Here is a 19,031-nt window from a genome sequence, read left to right as displayed (position 1 = left end):
CCAGCCTTCTGGCAAAACTCGACGCCGTGGCCTCGCCCTGCCTCTTCTCACTCTCTTACCACCTCCCTGCCTGCACTATCTAGCTCCTTCACTGGCTTCTCTGTCCGGCCCTAGAGGCTGGTGTTCTCCTGAGTCTGGTCCATGGTCCTCTTCTCATCCTCCATCTTCTTCCCCCAGACAATCCATGTCCTGCCACAGCTCTGACCACCACAAAGAGGAGTCCTTGGTGTCCACGCTCGATATTGTGCATGTGTCTCCAGCAGCTTAGTGAGCACCCTCGCCTGCCTCCTGCTCATCTCCACAGGGAGGTCCCATCAACACCTCAGGCTCAATGCTGCGGAAACCAGCCTCATGGTCCTGCCTCCGTCACTGCCTCCCTGTCCATCAAGTCACCTAGGTCCACCCCTCACATCTCACCGTTTGCAGGATCACATGACTCTTCCCCAAGCCACCTCCAGGGCCCACCCCGCCCCCACCCCACTGTCCCTCCTCTTCCAGACTGGGCACCTCGGTCCCCCAGGCTGGCTTCGCTCTTCCGTTTATGTGTGAAGTGGCTTCTGCCATTCAAGAGTTTCACATTTTATGTGCTTTTTCTCTAGTACTTTTACAATTTATTTTTAATCTATCCAGAATTAATTTTTGTGGCTGGTATGAAGAAAAGGTCTGATTTTCTTCCTTTTTTTTTTTTTTTTTTTTTGAGACAGAGTTTCACTCTTGTTACCCAGGCTGGAGTGCAATGGCGTGATCTCAGCTCACTGCAACCTCTGCCTCCCGGGTTCAATCGATTCTCCTGCCTCAGCCTCCCGAGTAGCTGGAATTACAGGCACGCGCCGCCAAGCCTGGCTAATTTTTTGTATTTAGTAGAGACGGGGTTTCACCATGTTGGTCAGGCTGGTCTCGAACTCCTGACCTCAGGTGATCTGCCCACCTCGGCCTCCCAAAGTGCTGGGATTACAGGTGTGAGCCACCGCACCTGGCCGAAAAGGTCTAATTTTCTTTTCTAGAAGCAAGTTGTCCTGATTGTGTGTTTTTGGACAGTCTCACATCTCCCTGCCAATTCAAAATGACACCTTTCACACACTCTGACTTTCCACATGTTCAGGGTCAGTTTCTGGACTTCCTAATCCTGCCCTGATCTCCATTCTATTTCTGCATCCACACCACAGCTTCTGATTCCCACAGCTTGAGTTCATTTTGCTACCTGATAGGGTAAGTCCCCTCATTCTTATTTTCCCCAATCTTCTTAGGTTTACTCTTTGAATCAACTGGCCAGGTCCTTAAAACAAACCCCACTGGGATTTTAACTGCAACTTCAAGCTTTACAGCATTAGGTCTTCCCATCCTGCAACTTGGTAACTCTCTCCACTTAAGCATTCTTGAAGGTGGTCTTTTCTGTTCTTGAAGATAGTTTTACAACTTTATTAGACTTTGTACATTTTCTTTTTCTTTGAGACGGAGTCTGGCTCTTGTCACCCAGGCTGGAGTGCAGTGGCGTGATCTTGGTTCACTGCAACCTTTGCCTCCTAGGTTCAAGTGATTCTCCTGCCTAAGGAGATTACAGGCGTGTGCCACCATGCCCAGCTAATTTTGTATTTTTAGTAGCAAGGGGGTTTCACCATGTTGGCCAGGCTGGTCACGAACTCCTGACCTCAGGTGATCTGCCTGCCTCGGCCTCCCAAAGAGCTGGGATTATAGGCATGAGCCACCGAACCGGGCCTGCTTTCTTGAATCCAGGTCAACACCCTGTGCCTCTGCCTATATTACCCTGCCCTGCCCTGTCTGGGGGTCTGGCTATCATCTTTTAGGGTGAAGCCCAAAGTCACCTCGCTCTGAAGCCTTTCCCAAGCTTCCCAGGCAGAAGTCCTTACTCCCTCTGTGTGCTCCAAAAGCTCTTTGCAGAAACCCCTTCTACACATGATCATGAAGTTGGCCCCAGGTAGACTGAGTTCCTAAGGTAGGGACTATTATTTATTCTTTTTTTTTTTTTTTTTTTTTTTGAGACGGAGTCTCGCTCTGTCACCAAGGCTGGAGTGCAGTGGCATGATCTTGGCTCACTGCAACCTCCGCCTCCTGGGTTTAAGCGATTCTTCTGCCTCAGCCTCCCAAGTAGCTGGGACTACAGGTGCATGCCAACACGCCTGGCTAATGTTTGTATTTTTAGTAGAGACAGGGTTTCACCATATTGGCCAGGCTGGTCTTGAACTCCTGACCTCATGATCTGCCCATCTCCGCCTCCCAAAGTGGTGGGATTACAGGCGTGAGCCACTGCACCTGGCCCAAGGTAGGGACTATTCTAATTAAAGGCACCTGGCACAAGGCCTGGTGTAATCATAGGTACTGAATGAATGAATGAACGAACGATGAATGAATGAACAAATAAACGGGCAGGAAAAACTGGACAAGATGACACTGGTCAAATTCTACTTTTCTCTTTCTCTCTCTCTCTTTTTTTTTTTTTGAGAAAGAAGTATCATTATGTTACCCAGGTAGGTCTTGAACTCCTGGGCTCATGCTGTCCTCCCACCTCTGCCAAAGTGTTGGGATTACAGGCGTGAGCCACCATGCCCAGTCAAAATTCTACTTTCCTCATGAGAATTCCTGCGTTTGGAAGTGACTGCTCCCTTCCCTGAATTCTAAGGGCTCTTGCTGTCACCCACAGCACCTTCCAGCCTGAGGAACAGTGATTTGCAGGCAACGTGTACCTCCTAGGCTGTCCCTGGATTTGCAGAGGTGAGTGACCTACCTAGTTGGCCGAGATCTCCTCCCAGTGCACAGGGAGGCTGGGCAGCATTCCCCCAGCTTTGCTGTGTAGGAGCAGTGGAGGAGGAAGAAGGGAAAGGACCCAGTCTGAGGCTCACCGGTGCCAGCCTCCCGCTCTCGCAGTGTCTGATCCACGTAAAGCCGGGTCTTTCGGGGCACATTGAGTTTCATGGCCTGGGCTGGTGGGGGACCCACCTCACTTCCTCCCTCTACAAACACTGCTGTACGCTTCAGGATCTTGATGATCAGGCCACCACCTAGGGAAGTGGACAGTGGAAATGGATTTGTCCTCCCCAGTTCTACCCACATTCCCATTCTTTCTTCCCCAAACAATCTGCCTCCTATAGAGTTGCTTCTGTACACATCCGTCTTCCAGACGAGACTGTTTCTGGAAGTAACAAAGTGCATCTTAATAGTCTCTCATCATTAATTCATTAATCCACTTAGCAGTTATTTGTGGAGTACTGTGATGTTCCTGGCATCGTGGCAGGCACTGGGGATGCTGGGTGAACTAGAAAGATCGAATCCAGCCCAGGACCCAGCCCTTGGGCTGTCCCAGTGGAGGCCTAGCTCCAGAAGGACACTTCTGTAGGCCTTACTTTCCACACCCAGGTCCACCCATGCTTCATTTCCACCTCCTCCTCTTTCCCCAGAAGCAGGCCTGTCCCTTCACTCCCGACTTCAAAGCCCTTGCCAGGTCTGACTCCACTCACCTCGAGTGGTCATGATGAGGGTGTTGTCCTCCCGCCCGTACCGGCCAAAGCAAAGGCTGGTCACTGCATCCTATGTGGAGACGTCAGAGTTTAGTTGGGGAAATATCTTGGAGAGGAAAGCAAGACAGGGGATGGGTAGGGGAGGCCCCAGATATAATAGGTGAGAAGTGATAGAGACAGGCCTGGGGAATCGCTGCCTCTGAAATATTTCCTATATTTCTCATCTCCCCTCCAATCTCACTACCTCAGTTCCAGACCAAATATCACTGGCCCTCACTTTTGGGGTCAACCTCCTAATAGATCTCCCAGACTCGTCTTTCGGGTCTTTCTCCCCAGTCTGCCCTTCACAATGCTGCCTTTGCTACCTTTCAAAAACACAAATATGTCTGGTCTCTGATAGAAAACCTCCAATGGCTTTTGTTCTCTTTCTTAGGACACTGAAGGCCTTCCACATTTGACTCCAACCCGCCTTTTCTGTCAGTTCTCTCCTCTTTACCCTTCTTTCAACGAGCATACCACCGGCCCTCCCAGCACCTATGGCCCAAGCCAGTTGTTTGCAAATTTTATACTGTGACACAGGACAATTTACACACACATACACAGTTTCACTTGTGACATACTTTTTTTTTGAGATGGAGTCTCACTTCATTGCCCAGGCTGGAGTGCAGTGGTGTGATCTCCAGCTCACTGCAACCTCTGCCTCCTGGGTTCAAGTGATTCTGCCTCGGCCTTCCCAGTAGATGCGATTATAGGCATGCACCACCATGCTTGGCTAATTTTTCTATTTGTATTTGTAATTATTTATTTATTTTTGTTGTTTTGTTTTTTTGTTTTGAGACAGAGTCTTGCTCTGTGGCCCAGGCTGGAGTGCAGTGGCGCGATCTCAGTTCACTGCAACCTTTGCCTCCCAGGTTCAAGTGATTCTTCTGCCTCAGCCTCCCAAGTAGCTGGGATTACAGGTGTGCCATCACACCCGGCTTTTTTTTTTTTTTTGAGATGGAGTCTCGCTCTGTCACCCAGGCTGGAGTGCAGTGGTGCGATCTCGGCTCACTGCAAGCTCCACCTCCCAGGTTCACGCCATTCTCCTGCCTCAGCCTCCTGAGTAGCTGGGACTACAGGCACCTGCCACCATGCCCGGCTAATTTTTTGTATTTTTAGTAGAGACGGGGTTTTACCGTGTTAGCCAGGATGGTCTCCATCTCCTGACCTTGTGATCTGCCTGCCTCGGCCTCCCAAAGTGCTGGGATTACAGACGTGAGCCACCGTGCCCGGCCCATACCCGGCTAATTTGTTTATTTTTAGTAGAGATGGGGTTTCACCATGTTGGCCAGGCTGTTCCAGAACTGTGATCGCCTGCCTCAGCCTTCCAAAGTGCTGGGATTACAGGTGTGAGCCAATGTGCCTGGCCCTCACTTGTGACATACTTTGAATTTACTATTCTATTTTTAAAAATGTTGCTGGTTGTGATCTACTAAACTGATTTAATGATTCACAACTTAGAGTCTGAAAACCTCTGGTCCAAACTCATCAAATGACCTGGATTCCTTAATCAAGAGCCTTCATACTTCTCAGGCTTTGTGCATGCTATTCTCTGTGCAGAATGTTCTTCCTCCATTTGTCCACCTGACAAACTGTTCTGAGGCCCAGTTGAACTGTCACTTGTTCTGTGAAGTGTCCCATGGAGTCCATCCCCATTTATCTCACCCCCCACCCTTGTCACTCAGCACCCTCTGCGCTTTTTAGCACTTTGCTCTGCTTCAGTCGGCCCTTTTAAATTTGCTATGTCTCTGGCTGGCTGTTACCTTAGACTGTAAGCCTCCTGAAAACAAGGACTTAGTCATCATTTTACCCCCCACCCCTACCAATATGGTGACTGGTACATATGAGGTGCTCAACACATTTTTTTTTTTTTTAAGATGGAGTCTCGCTCTGTTGTCCAGGCTGAAGTGCCATGGTTTGATCTTGGCTCACTGCAACCTCCGCCTCCCAGGCTCAAGCGATTCTCCTACCTCAACCTCCTGAGTAGCTGGGATTACAGGTACGCACCACCATGCCCGGCTAATTTTTGTATTTTTAGTAGCAAGGGGGTTATGCCATGTTGGCTAGGCTGGTTTTGAACTCCTTACCTCAGGTGATCTGCCCACCTTGGCCTCCCAAAGTGCTGGGATTACAGGCATGAGCCACTGTGCCTGGCCTCAACAAATGTTTTTGAAATGCATCAATGTGTGGTCGGAAGAGGCAGCTAAGAAGCCCCAGAGGTGAGACGAGGGCAAGGAGGAGTGAGTGGCAGATGCCGGAGATGGGGCTCACCGGGGTGTGGATGACATTGAGCAGGGCCTTGTCACGATAAATGCGGACCTCTCCATTGGCCAGCCCAGCCATGACGGCCTGCAGGCCCCGGGAATGCTGCTCCAGGAGGTTCATGGTCAGGATGGCTGCGGGCATCTGCACTGTCCACAGCTTCTTCCCCTGGCAGGGAACAGCCAGCGTCTGTGGAGGGCTCAGGGCTTACAGTGGAAAGAACGGTTTCTGGGGTGGGGAAGCCAGAGGACTCTCTTGCCAAGTGGGGGCTAGGGACATAGGCGTGGAGGGGCTGCTGCTTGCTGGGGGCTGCACCTTGTGGGTGAAGCCATGCAGGCTGTCTTGGGTGCTGCCCACCACTAGGACCTTGTGTACCCGGATAAGTCCCACAGGCTGGGCGCTCAGCTCGATGCAGTACTTGGGGTGCTTGGAGTCTCTGTGGAATAAACAACACACTGTCTGGCCCCAGAGAAATCCTCTCCACTTCTATGGCTGACCCTCCTCTGTCTAAACCTCATGGACTCACCTGGGAGGAACACTGGCCCCAAAGCAGATGACCCTGGGATTATTTCCACTTCTGCCACCTTAGTAAATGTGTGGCCTTGGAAAACATCAAGTGTGTCTTCCTCCCACCTTCACTATGGTGTCTTGTCTTCCTCCCACCTTCACTATGGTGTCTTGTCTTCCGCCCACCTTCACTATGGTGGCTTGTATGATCATCTAGCATTTAACAGAGTTTTCAGTGAGTTTACCTTTGGCTGGACTAGCCAGGACAAGTGGACTTAGGCACTTTATTATGAGAAAAGGATGAAGAGCTTTGCCCTGTGTCAATGCAGTTTTTAGTTTACTGGCCTCTCAATTTTAGTTTCCCTTTCCAGAAAGTACAGTTAGTTCCTCTCTATTCGAGGAGCACACGCCAATGTCTTTCCCACTTTGAGTTGGCCTACAACACTCTTCCCGACTTTCTCACCAACTGGTTCCTTTTTAACTTTCAAGCCATCTCCACAGAGAGGTGTTCCTGATCACCCTTACCTGTTATTTTTCCCCATTGAGCTTGTATTTTTTCTCCATAGCACTCATCCAATTTGTAGTAACATCTTGGTTTCTTCACTTTAATACATCTGTCTTCGCCATGAGGACAGGGACCATATTTATCTTGTTCATCAATATATCCCTAATACCACACACTGCATAATGCATAGTAGGTGCTCAATAAATATTTATTGAATTAAAAAAATGCATGTTAGGCCGGGTGTGGTGGCTTATGACTGTAATCCCGGCACTTTGGGAGGCCGAGAAGGGTGGATCACAAGGTCAGGCGTTCGAGACCAGCCTGGCCAATATGGTGAAACCCCGTCTCTACTAAAAATACAAAAATTAGCTGGGTGTGGTGGCACGCACCTGTAGTCCCAGCTACTTGGGAGGCTGAGGCAGGAGAATCGCTTGAACCCAGGAGGCAGAGGTTGCAGTAAGCCGAGATCGTGCCACTGCACTCCAGCCTGGGTGACAGAGTGAGACTCTGTGACTCTGTCTCACAAAATAAAAAAAAAAAAAAGCATTTTATATGGAATATTAAACTAATGCATAAACAAGTGTCATGTCATGTACCCTAGAAAGTAACAAATATGGGAAATTTTTTTTTATTTCTTCCCATCTGTTTCCTTTTCTTTTTTTTTGAGACAGAGTCTCGCTCTGTGCCCAGGCTGGAGGGCAGTGGCGTGATCTCGGCTCACTGCAAGCTCCACCTCCCAGGTTCACGCCATTCTCCTGCCTCAGCCTCCCGAGTAGCTGGGACTACAGGCGCCCACCACCATGCCCAGCTAATTTTTTGTATTTTTAGTAGAGATGGGGTTTCACTGTGTTAGCCAGGATGGTCTGGATCTCCTGACCTCATGATCCACCCACGTTGGCCTCCAAAGTGCTGGGATTACAGGCGTGAGGCAATGCACCCGGCACCCCCCTGCTTTTTTTTTTTTTTTTTTTTTTTGAGACGGAGTCTCGCTCCGTTACCCAGGCTGGAGTGCAGTGGTGTGATCTTGGCTCACTGCAACCTCCGCCTCCTGGGTTCAAGCGATTCTCCTACCTTAGCCTCCCGAGTAGCTGGGGCTAGAGGCATGCGCCACCATGCCCAGCTAATTTTGTATTTTTAGTAGAGACGGGGTTTCACCATGTTGGCCAGGCTGGTCTTGAACTCCTGACCTCAGGTGATCCGCTTGCCTCGGCCTCCCAAAGTGCTGGGATTACAGGCGTGAGCCACAGCGCCCAGCCTGTCCTCTCATTTCTGATCACTCCTGTACTATAGCCACCCAGCCTAGTCTCTCACTGTGCCAGCCCCTATCTCACAAGCCTCCAGGTATCCTCCCCTGTGTTTGTGGGCTCAGCCTCCTTTATGAAGTTCTCAGCTCTTTGCATTTCCAAATTCCAGCCTTAAAGCCCACTCTCATCTTGCAAGCCTCTGAAGCCACCAGTTTTCTGAGATGTTCCTCCCGGCCCCGGAGACCACGGATGTGGCTACCTTCTCAGAATATAGATGTTTCCATTGCGGCAGGCCGCGGCAAGCCGGAACTCAACATCAAACTGGCCAGAAACCTCTAGGAAGACGGGGACGCTGGGAAGGCTCATCTGCAAACAAGAAGCGCAAACACTCCAATTTCTCTGGAGCCCCCGTCCCTCCCTGCCCTGTCAGTAACTCCTCTGAGTGAGTGCCTGGTCTAAAGTCCCAATCTCCTCACTTACACCCAGTTTAAACTCATACAGTTTTTCAGGAGGGAAACTTGGGGCAACATTTAGCAAAAGCCTTTTAGTCTGTGCCTTTTGACTAAACGATGCCACTTCTAGGACTGCATCCTAAGGATGTACTTAAACAACCGTGCAGCTGGGTGTGGTGGCCCACACCTGTAATCCCAACACTTTGAGAGGCTGAGGCGGGTGGATCGCTTGAGCTCAGGAGTTCAAGACCAGCCTGTCCAACATGGCAAAACTTTGTCTCTACCAAAAGTACAAAACTTAGCTGGGCGTGGTGGTCCCACAGATGAGAAGATGAGGTGAGAGGACTGTTTGAGCCCAGGTGGCATAGGTTGCAGTAAGCTGAGATTGTACCACTGCACTTCAGCCTGGGCAAGAGAACAAGATTGTCTCAAAAACAAACAAACAAGCATGCAAGGATATTTGGGTAAAAAGGTCTATAGCATTGGTATTAATAGCAAAAAATGAAAAACAGTTTAAATGTACAATAGGTGACAGGGTAAATAAATTATGGTACCTCAATATGATGGATATTGCGTGGTCTTTAAAAAGGCTGATGTGGGGTCAGGCGTGGTGGCTCACGCCTGTAATCCCAGCACTTTGGGAGGCTGAGATGCAGAGATCACTTGAGGTAAGGAATTTGAGACCAGCCTGGCCAACAGGGTGATACCCCATCTCTACTAAAAATACAAAAATTAGCTGGGTGTGGTGGTACATGCCTGCAGTCCCAGCTACTCAGGTGGCTGAGGCATGAGAACTGCTTGAACCCGGGAGGTAGAAGCTGCAGTGAGCTGAGATAGAGCCACTGTACTCCAGCCTGGGTGACACAGCAAGATTCTGCCTCAAAAACAAAAAACAAAACAAAAGAAAATAAAAGGCTGATGTGGTTTTATAGATATAGAAAGACACTGATGATATACTGCTACATGAAAAGAACATGTTACATGATCCTCCTGCTTTTATTTATTTATTTACTTATTGTTTTTAGAGACAGGGTCTCACTCTGTCGCCCAGGCTGGAGTGCAGTGCCACAATCATAGCTCACTGCAGCCTGAAACTCTTGGGCTCAAGCCATCCTCCTGCCTCGGCCTCCCAAAGCACTAGGGTTAGAGGCATGGGCCACCACACCCAGCTAATCCTGTTTTTATAAAGAGAAATATTTACATAAAGTTATATATCTATGTCTAAATATGAAAATGTCTAGAGAGACCTATGCCTCAACTTTAACAGTATACATCCATAGGCGGTAGGATTTTTGGATATATATCTTTTTTAATGCTTATCTAGTTTCTAATTTTTCTACAAGGAACATATATATTACCCAGAACTAACTGTGGAGCATGGGGAGAGAATGCAGCCTGGGCCTCCAGCGGGCCCAGGGCCAGACCTGACGCTGACCTTGGCTAAAATGGTGAAGGCCTCGGGGTCAAGCACCAGGAGCTCCTTGTTCTCGGTGCCCAGCACCAGGCAAGACACAGCATCCTCGTCAGCCAGGTTCTTCTTCAAGGTGGTCATGGTGGTGATGACTGTCTACAGAAGGACTCCAGGGGTCACCCAGGGAACCTCCACACACCACCCCCAAGATACTCCCAGAATGCCACATGAGGGAAGAAAGAGGGCAAAGGAGGATGAAGAGGAAATATCAGAGATGTGACAGAAGATTTAAGTACAAAGGTGTTTATTGCAACAAATCTAACTTTCTAACAAAAGAGGATTGTCTAAGTCAATTATGAGCCATCCATATGATCAAAAACTATGCAGTCTTTTTTTTTTCTTGAGACAGGTTCTCGCTCTGTCGCCCAGGCAGGAGTGCAGTGGTACAATCTCGGCTCACTGCAACCTCTGCCTCGCAGGTTCAAGCAATTCTCCTGCCTTAGCCTCCCAACTAGCTGGGATTACAGGCGCACGCCACCGTGCCCAGCTACTTTTTGTATTTTTAGTTTCACCATGTTGCCCAGGTTGGTCTTGAACTCCTGACCTGTGATCCACCCGCCTCAGCCCCCTAAAGTGCTGGGATTACATGCATGAGCCACCATGCCCGGCTGCAGTCATTTCTTAAAAGTCATATTTAAAAAGAATATTTGGGCCAGGCTCAGCAGATCATGCCTGTAATCCCAGCACTTTTGGGGACCAAGGCAGGTGGACTGCATGAGCCCAGGAGTCCAAGACCAGCTTGGGCAGCAAAGTGAGACCCCAACTCTACAAAAAATAAAAATAAAAAATCAGCCAGGTGCGATGGCATGCATCTGTAGTCCCAGGTACTCAGGAGGCTGAGGCAGGAGGATCCCTTGATCCCAGGAGTTCAATGCTCCAGTGAGCTATGATCCTGCCACTGCATTCCAGCCTGACTGACAGAGTAAGACCCTGTCTTAAAAAAAAAAAAAAAAAAGAAAAGGGCTGGGCGTGGTGGCTCACACCTGTAAGCCCAGCACTCTGGGAGGCTGAAGTGGTCAGAAGTTTAAGACCAGCCTGGCCAAAATGGTGAAACCCCATCTCTACCAAAAAATATGAAAATTAGCCAGGCATGGTGGCATGCACCTGTAATCCCAGCTACCCAGGAGGCTGAGGCAGGAGAATCGCTGGAACCCGGGAAGCAGAGGCTGCAGTGAGCCAAGATTGCACCACTGTACTCCAGCCTGGGTGACAGAGCAAGACTCCATCTCAAAGAAAGAAAAGAAAAAAAAAAAAAAAAGAAACCTCATCTGTACAGAAATACAACCATTAGCCCAGGCATGATGGCGGGTGCCTGTAATCCCAGCTACTTGTGAGGCTGAGGCAGGAGAATTGCTTGGACCTGGGAAATGGAGGTTGCAGTGAGCTGAGATCATGCCATTGCACTCCAGCCTGGGTGACAGAGCGAGACTCCGTTTCAAAAATAAATAAAAGAAAAGGCCGGATGCGGTGGTTCACGCCTGTAATCCCAGCACTTTGGGAGGCCGAGGTGGGTGGATCACGTGAGGTTGGGAGTTCGAGACCAGCCTGACCAACAGGGAGAAACCCTGTCCCTACTAAAAATACAAAATTAGCCGGGCGTGGTGGCACATCCCTGTAATCCCATCTACTCGGGAGGCTGCGGCAGGAGAATCGCTTGAACCCAGGAGGCGGAGGTTGCGATGAGCTGAGATTGCGCCATTGCACTCCAGCCTGGGCAACAAGAGCAAAACTCCATCTCAAAAAAAAAAAAGAAAAGAAAAAAAAAAGTGACGTTAGTATAATCCTAGTTTTAAAAATATATGAATATAGGCTAAATAAGGTGGCTCATGCCTGTAATCCCAGCACTTTGGGAGGCCCAGGTGGGAGGATCACTTTAGATCAGGAGTTTGAGACCAGTCTGGGCAACATGGTGAGACCCCATCTCTTAAAAAAATAAATAAATAAATAAGATGGGCGTGGTGGCTCACACCTGTAATCCCAGCATTTTGGGAGGCTGAGGCAGGCAGATCACGAGGTCAAGAGATCGAGACCATCCTGGCCAGCATGGTGAAACACCATCTCTACTAAAAATACAAAAATTAGCTGGGCGTGGTGGTGTGCGCCTGTAGTCTCAGCTACTTGGGAGGCTGAGGCAGGAGAATAGCTTGAACCCAGGAGGTGGAGGTTGCAGTGAGCTGAGATCACACCACTGCACTCCAGCCTGGCGACAGAGCCAGACTCTGTCTCCAAAAAAAAAAAAAAAAGGACAAAAATTTCAAAATAAAAAATACATGAATGCAAAAACATGTGGAAGGCTAAACCCTTAAACAAACACTAGTTATTGTTAGACAATGATATCACAAGTGATGTTTAATTCCTCATGATGCCTATCGTTTCTACAGTGGGCACATGTTTCTTTTGTAATTATAATTGGAGGGAAAACAAAAAAGATCCCCTTGTAAGGAATTTCTCCTACAGAAATTAGCAGAAGCAAAATGTTTTTCTTTTTTTTTTTGTTTTTTGGTTTTTTTTTTTGAGATAGAGTCTTGCTCTGTCACCAAGGCTGGAGTGCAGTGGCGCAATCTCGGCTCACTGCAAGCTCCGCCTCCCGGGTTAACGCCATTCCCCTGCCTCAACCTCCTGAGTAGCTGGGAGTACAGGCGACCGCTACCATGCCCGGCTAATTTTTTGTATTTTTAGTAGAGACAGGGTTTCACCATGTTAGCCAGGATGGTCTCGATCTCCTGACCTCGTGATCTGCCCGTCTCAGCCTCCCAAAATGCTGGGATTACAGGCGTGAGCCACCGCGCCCGGCCAAGATGTTTTTCTTTAGATAAAGGTGCTCATTGTGTGATTATCATCAAGATTGAAAAAGACAGCTGGGCACAGCAGCTCATTCCTGTAATAGCACCACTTTGGGAGGCTGAGGTAGGAGGACTGCTTGAGTTCAGGAGTTCAAGACTAGCCTGGGCAACATAGTGAGACTCCATCTCTACAAAAAATAAAAATAAAAAAATTAGCTGGGCATGGTGGCATGCACTTGTAGTCCCAACTACTCAGGAGGTTGAAGGGGGAGGATCACTTGAATCCAGTAGTTTGAGGCTGTAGTGAGCCACGATCACACCACTGCACTCCAGCCTGGGTGACGGAGGAAGACCCAGCTCCCTACCCTTCCCCAAAAGAGATTAAAAAAGAGGAATGATTTTCAGTGCCTAATGGAAGGCGAAAGCTTACAAAAATGTGGACAAATATTAGTGGTAACTATTCCCATCCCAAATGTTAATGATAACTCAAAAATGTGAGTGGTTGGCATGGCACGATGGCTCACACCTGTAATCTGAGCACTTTGGGAGGTCAAGGTAGGCGGATCACCTGAGGTCAGGAGTTCGAGACCAGCCTGGACAACATGGTGAAACCCCGTCTCTACTAAAAATACAAAAATTAGCTGGGTGTGTTGGTGCATGCCTATAATCCCAGCTACTTGGGAGGCTGAGGCAGGAGAATCGCTTGAACCCAGGAAACAGAGGTTGTAGTGAGCTGAGATTGTGCCACTGTACTCCAGCCTGGGTGACAGAGCAAGACTGTCTCAAAAAAAAAAAAAAAAAAAAAAAGCTGTCACTACTAACTGGAATGTGGAAGTCACTGCAGCTTTATGACTACACACACATGGCATGGCTGGAAGGGATATAGCAAAGAGATACTGGTTGGGTTTGCTTATAGAATTTACCACTGATGTTAAGTGGTCTTTTAAAAAAATGTAAATTTTTTTACAGGGAAATAAAAAGAGAAGGGGGTATTACCTGCCGCTTGATGGAGTTGGACTTGTGTTGGTTTACAAATGCCTCCATTTCACTTAGCTCCAGCTGCAGAAACCTAGACACACAGAGAACTGGCATCTGCAGGCCCCGGCCTCGCTGCCCTCCTCCATCATTCTGGCACATTCTGGCGGCTGCTTCCTCTCCCTGGAGCCTCCCAAACCCTGGCCCTCCACAGGGTCCTTACCTGAGTGACTGGATGGACAAAGGCTCCTCTGCCGTCTCCCTGCAAGGAAAGGGGCCAGCATGGCAGCCGAATGGAAGAATGGGGCCCTGGGGCTCAGATGGGATGAAGGAGTGAGGGGGGTATGAAGGGGAAGGCAGCCTCTCACCGGATGCTCTCCAGCATCTCCTTCAGGGTTAAGGGGTCGATTCGGTCCTGTGACAATGTGGGAAGAGAGCCTGTGAGCTCAAGCCAGGCAGGAAACCCAATGTCTACACCCCCAGACAGCTCCACACTTCTAGGGGTACCTCTTGGTCTCTGCCTCCCTGCCAGCCTACCTCTGCACTGAGCACCAAGCTCACGTCCTTTATCTGAATCCAGTCTCATGGCCATGTACATCATCCCTCCCCAAATCCATGCCTCCCCAAATTCCCCTCCTCTCTTGGTGTTTCCAGTCCTCCTTCTTCTCTGACAGGCCCCTACCTTCTTTGGTTTCATCTTCCTCAAATTTGGGCAGGGATGTGGCTAGTGCAGAGAAATTTTCTGGGTTCCACTCTCCAAGAGAACTGGCTCAGTGCCTCTCTGGGAGCCATGCTGAGTAGCCAAGCACAACACCTTGTCCAGAAGTGCCATCACTAGGCTGGGCACGGTGGTTCATGCCTGTAATCCCAACACTTTGGGAGGCCGAGGTGGGTAGATCATATGAGGCCAGGAGTTCAAGACCAGCCTGGCCAACATAGTAAAACCTTGTCTCTACTAACACATACAAAAAATTCGCCAGGCGTGGTTGCTGGTGCCTGCAATCCCAGCTACTCAGGAGGATGAGACAGAAGAATTGCTTTAACCCGGGAGCCAGAGGCTGCAGTGAACCAAGATCACGTCATTGCACTCCAGTCTGGGCAACAAGAGTGAAACTCCGTCTCAAAAAAAAAAAAAGTGCCATCACTGCTGCTGTCAGAGATGGACTATAGCTGACCTCCTGCCACCAGCCCACGTTCTTCCCAGGAGCCCAGCCCTCTTCACCCAGTGGCTGCCATCTTTGCCTTCTGGTTCCCAACTCCCATGTTATTTATTTACCTCTTTGGCCTGGTTCCAAAGGTCTTGTTCCAGAGGATTTGGAGGCAATTGGGGCAGGCTGAACTTGAAGTAGGGTCTGAGATTCTTATACACATAGACACAAGGGCCTGAAGCAAGTGCCAGAGCTGGGGTCCGGGGCTCATGTTGCTCCATGAGGAAGGTGGCAGCAGCAGCTGGCAGAGCAGGTAGCGGGCTTTCGGTCATCACCAGTGGTCCTTTGAGCACCTTCAGGCGGGGCTGCTGCCCACCAGGGCCAAGGTCCCCTACCACCAGCTGCAGGGAGAGGATGGCTCATTCTAGGCTCAGGGTCTGAAGACCTCTCCACTGACCCTCTTCTTGCCTTATTGCTGGTGCACATTCATTCATTCCTGCACCAATAAAGGCTTTGCCCTCAGGCTTTCAAGCTGCCTGACCTTGGGAAAGTTGACTAACCTTTCTGAATCTCAGGTTTCCCGCTTGCAGAATGGTGATACTTTCATGGTATGTGGTGAAAATCAAGTGAGATAATGAGTTACAGAACCTGGTAAGTGCTACTGAGGAATAAGTGGCAGTTGATGTTTTTATTATTCATTCAGCAAACATTTCTTCCACACCAGGCACTTCTAGAGAGATACTGGGACAGTGGTAGAGGTCAGTGTGGGAGGGGACGGGGACACCCATATCTGGGCTGCTGAAGCCTGGTTTCCAAATGCAGGGCAGGATGTGCTCTGTGGACACACAGAGGGGAAACAAGCTCCTTGATCTCAGCTTTCCACCCTCTAATCCATCTTCCAAGCTGCTGGAGCTGCCACACAAGCCCATTTCCCTGAATGAGGCCTGGAAGGCCTCTCTGATCTAGTTCCCAACTTGTTTCCTATCACCCTTCCCATTGCTGTGCTCCGGCCAGAAAGGGGGTACCCAAGAACTCCTGGATACTGAGCATGCAGTATATGCCAGGGACCACATCAGAAACTGCATGCATCGTTTCATTTAACCCTCTCAACAGTCTTATTATTTTTAAGCGACTGGGTCTTGCTCTGTCACCTAGGCTGGAGTGCAGTGGTGCGATCATGGCTCGCTGCAGCCTCAAACTCCTGGGCTTAAGCAGTCTTCCCACCTTAGCCTCCCAAGCAGCTAGGACTACAGGTGTGTGCCACTACACCTGGCTTTCAACAACCTTATGAAGTAGGCACCATTATTAGCCTCATTTCTCAAATGAGGAAGCTGTGTCTTAGAGAAGTTAAGTAAAAGTCATACAGCTATTAAGTGGTAGAGCTAGTTCTGTCTGAATCCAAAGCCATAGTCTTAACTACTATTTTATGTGGTAGTTATTTTATATGGGTCTCAACTTTCTAACTTCACATTTATTCTTTCCAAATATGCTATGAACTTCTAAGTCTCTGTCCTTCTGCTTGTGCTGTTTCTTCTACCTGAAATGCCTTCCCCATCCTCTCATCCTTGACTTCTTGATAGACTTCATTCATCCTTCAATGCCCAGTTCACACATTACTACCTCCTGGTGCCTCCAGACAGAATCCATTGTTCTCGTTGGCGCTCCCGTAATACTTTCTACATGTTCAATTTTAGCATCTACTCACTTCCCCACAAATATTTATCAAGTACCTACTTTATGTCAGGTACTGGACTAGATGCTGGGACTCAATGGTGAATAAACTAGCCATTAAACATTCTATTATGTGAAGATATTTAACATTTCTTTTTTTTTTTGAGATGGAGTCTCGCTCTGTCACCCAGGCTGAAGTGCGATGGCGTGATTTCGGCTCACTGCAACCTCCGCCTTCTGGTTTCAAGCCATTCTCCTGCCTCAGCCTCCCGAGTAGCTGGGATTACAGGCGCCTGCCACCACGCCCGGCTGATTTTTGTATTTTTAGTACAGACAGGGTTTCACCATGTTGTCCAGGCTGGTCTCAAACTCCTGACCTCGTGATCCACCCGCCTTGGCCTCCTCCTAAAGTGCTGGGATTACAGGCATGAGCCACTGTGCCTGGCTAACATTTCTTATTAGCTACTGTGTCTGTGGTTTCTCTTCCCTCACTATTGTAAGCCCAGAGCCAAATACAAACTAGGTATTCAATCAATATCATGGAATAATTGTCGACAGTGTATCTCCTCCTGACCACATGCTGATGCATTTCTGAGTGTAGTGTCCCCATGATGCCTGACACACAGTAGGGACTCACTATACACTTGCTGAATTACTGAATACATTATGGATAGGAATTTGGGGGCAAAAACCACTGAGTCCTATTGCACTCTCTGTGTGGGGTGGGATTCCAGGACTATCTTCTAGCCACCCACATGATATATCCATTGTGGTGTTGTTGCCCATGGTGAGGGCTGAGCTTTGGTAGAAAAAGCACAAAACTTGGAATCAAACAGACCCAGTTACAAATTCAGTAAACTTCACCTCTTTGAAACTATTTTCCCATTCACAAAATGGGAATAAATAAAATCCATGTTTATGTGCCTCCATGGAATGTCTAGTCCAGAAATGGATACTGAATCCATGCTAACTTCCTTTCTTTTATCCCAATATATTTCTCTACCTTTAAAAAACTTGTATCTTTTTAAATTTACATTTTTATTTAAAATTAAATATATGTATATATATATACATATATATACACATATATATACATATATATACATATATATACACATATATATATATATATTTTTTTTTGAAACTGTCTCACTCTGTCATCCAGGCTGGAGTGTAGTGGCATGGTCTCAGCTCACTCAACCTCCGCCTCCTGGGTTTGACCAATTCTCCTGCCTCAGCCTCCCAAGTAGCTGGGATTACAGGTGCCCATCACCATGCCCGGCTAATTTTTGTATTTTTAGTAGAGATGGTGTTTCACCATGTTGGACAGGCTGGTCTCGAATGCCTAAGCTCAAGCGATCCACCCACCTCAGCCTCCCAAAGTGCTGGGATTGCTGGCCTTAAAATTAAATTTAAAATGTAACATTTTTACTATGGAAAATTTTCATTCACATACAAAAGTAGAGAGACTCATATAATGAGTCCCCATATATCCCATTATCCAGCTTCAAAAATTGACAGCTCATGGCCCATCTTAAAATCTTTTGATAAACATCAAACGTTCACTTCCCTCCTTTTTACTTTCCCTCCAGATTCTAGTGCCCACCCCCAACCAAGGGATTTGCCCTTCCAACAAAGAAATCAGGTTAACTAAGAGGCTTTGTCTTAGTAGAATCCCCAGAAATATTTGATCTGCTTTACTTTCTGCAGTCTGTATTATGAAATCAATAAGTTCTCTTCACTTTCCATATAAAAACAAAATTTAACGCTAAATGTGCTTTTTCACAGTATATGTGAATTCCAGAGTATGCTGGGCCTATTTTCAGCCGTCAGGAAATCTCATTTCTGGGTACACCCCCCTACCCTCAACTCTCCTGGCTAGGGTGATATGCTTACCTTGTATTCCCCATCCCCATGTAAATCTGCCAGCGCTGGAAAACAAAAGGGCCAAAACCAGAGTCTCAGAATCCCAGAGGCTTCACTACAGGACCATTGTCTGACTCCCCATCCCACTAGAACCCAGGGTTCCTGGTTCCAGAGACTCACCTAGGCAGGCAGAAAAGGTGTGGATATTGGCCATTGGGTCGTAGTGCGCATCCAACCACTTCGAATTGGCCTCATTGCTGGAAGTGGGGGAAAGACAGTTGGGGAGTGAGTCCCATGGGAGGGGAAAAAAAAACTTTGAGGAAGCTGGTACAGGTCACTCTGAACATAAGGTACAGAACGTCTGGGTACAAGTCCAGGCTCCGCCACTGGCTCACCGAGCGACCTCCAGACACACATATGCACATCTTAGGCCTCGGTTTCCCTATCTGACCTCTTAAGAGTCCTTCCAGACTGCCCGAGAACAGCAGGAGCCCAGAGCCCGGGGACCAAGGGACCCTCTTTACACGGGTGGGAAAAGAGGCCTTGAGGAGCCCTGCCTTCACCTCTCAGCTCCGCAGGCGTCGGAATCCGATGAGGACGCAGCGGCCATCTTCGCAGGCGTCGTCCTGGCAACC

General features: G+C 48.5%; 2 protein-coding genes across 9 annotated transcripts in view; one reads left to right on the top strand and one right to left on the bottom strand.

Annotated features, from left to right (window-relative positions):
• Positions 1–9,041, top strand: part of ZDHHC24 (zDHHC palmitoyltransferase 24) — a 25,424-nt gene extending 16,383 nt beyond the window's left edge. Inside the window, exons 3-5 of one of the 8 annotated variants that reach the window (XR_007062470.1) lie at positions 178–1,209; positions 2,660–2,730; positions 8,200–8,287. Coding sequence is in view for 5 of the 8 variants with exons in the window: in XM_047426709.1 (XP_047282665.1) it covers positions 178–599 (422 nt within the window). In the remaining 3 variants the exon portion in view is untranslated. Of the gene's footprint in view, positions 1–177; positions 2,405–2,659; positions 2,731–4,105; positions 4,116–5,389; positions 5,512–8,199 lie in introns of those variants that run through there. The other 7 variants (XR_949860.4, XR_007062471.1, NM_001348571.2 and 4 more) reach the window with 7 other exon arrangements.
• The window catches only part of BBS1 (Bardet-Biedl syndrome 1), a 22,964-nt gene extending 3,933 nt beyond the window's left edge, over positions 1–19,031 (bottom strand). Inside the window, exons 1-13 of the mRNA NM_024649.5 lie at positions 18,960–19,031; positions 18,577–18,653; positions 18,427–18,461; positions 14,988–15,260; positions 14,080–14,126; positions 13,935–13,973; positions 13,733–13,805; positions 9,918–10,049; positions 8,290–8,396; positions 6,090–6,210; positions 5,784–5,942; positions 3,474–3,543; positions 2,859–3,017 (exon numbers count right to left, since the gene is read on the bottom strand). Of these exons, the coding sequence (NP_078925.3) occupies positions 2,859–3,017; positions 3,474–3,543; positions 5,784–5,942; positions 6,090–6,210; positions 8,290–8,396; positions 9,918–10,049; positions 13,733–13,805; positions 13,935–13,973; positions 14,080–14,126; positions 14,988–15,260; positions 18,427–18,461; positions 18,577–18,653; positions 18,960–19,006 (1,339 nt within the window). The 5' untranslated portion in view covers positions 19,007–19,031. The remainder of the gene's footprint in view (positions 1–2,858; positions 3,018–3,473; positions 3,544–5,783; positions 5,943–6,089; positions 6,211–8,289; positions 8,397–9,917; positions 10,050–13,732; positions 13,806–13,934; positions 13,974–14,079; positions 14,127–14,987; positions 15,261–18,426; positions 18,462–18,576; positions 18,654–18,959) is intronic.

The sequence above is a fragment of the Homo sapiens genome, chromosome 11 (genome assembly GCF_000001405.40).
Source record: "Homo sapiens chromosome 11, GRCh38.p14 Primary Assembly".
Lineage (NCBI taxonomy): Eukaryota > Metazoa > Chordata > Mammalia > Primates > Hominidae > Homo > Homo sapiens.
The sequence above is the reverse complement of the archived record's forward strand: the minus strand, read 5'-3'. Positions and strand labels throughout refer to the sequence as shown.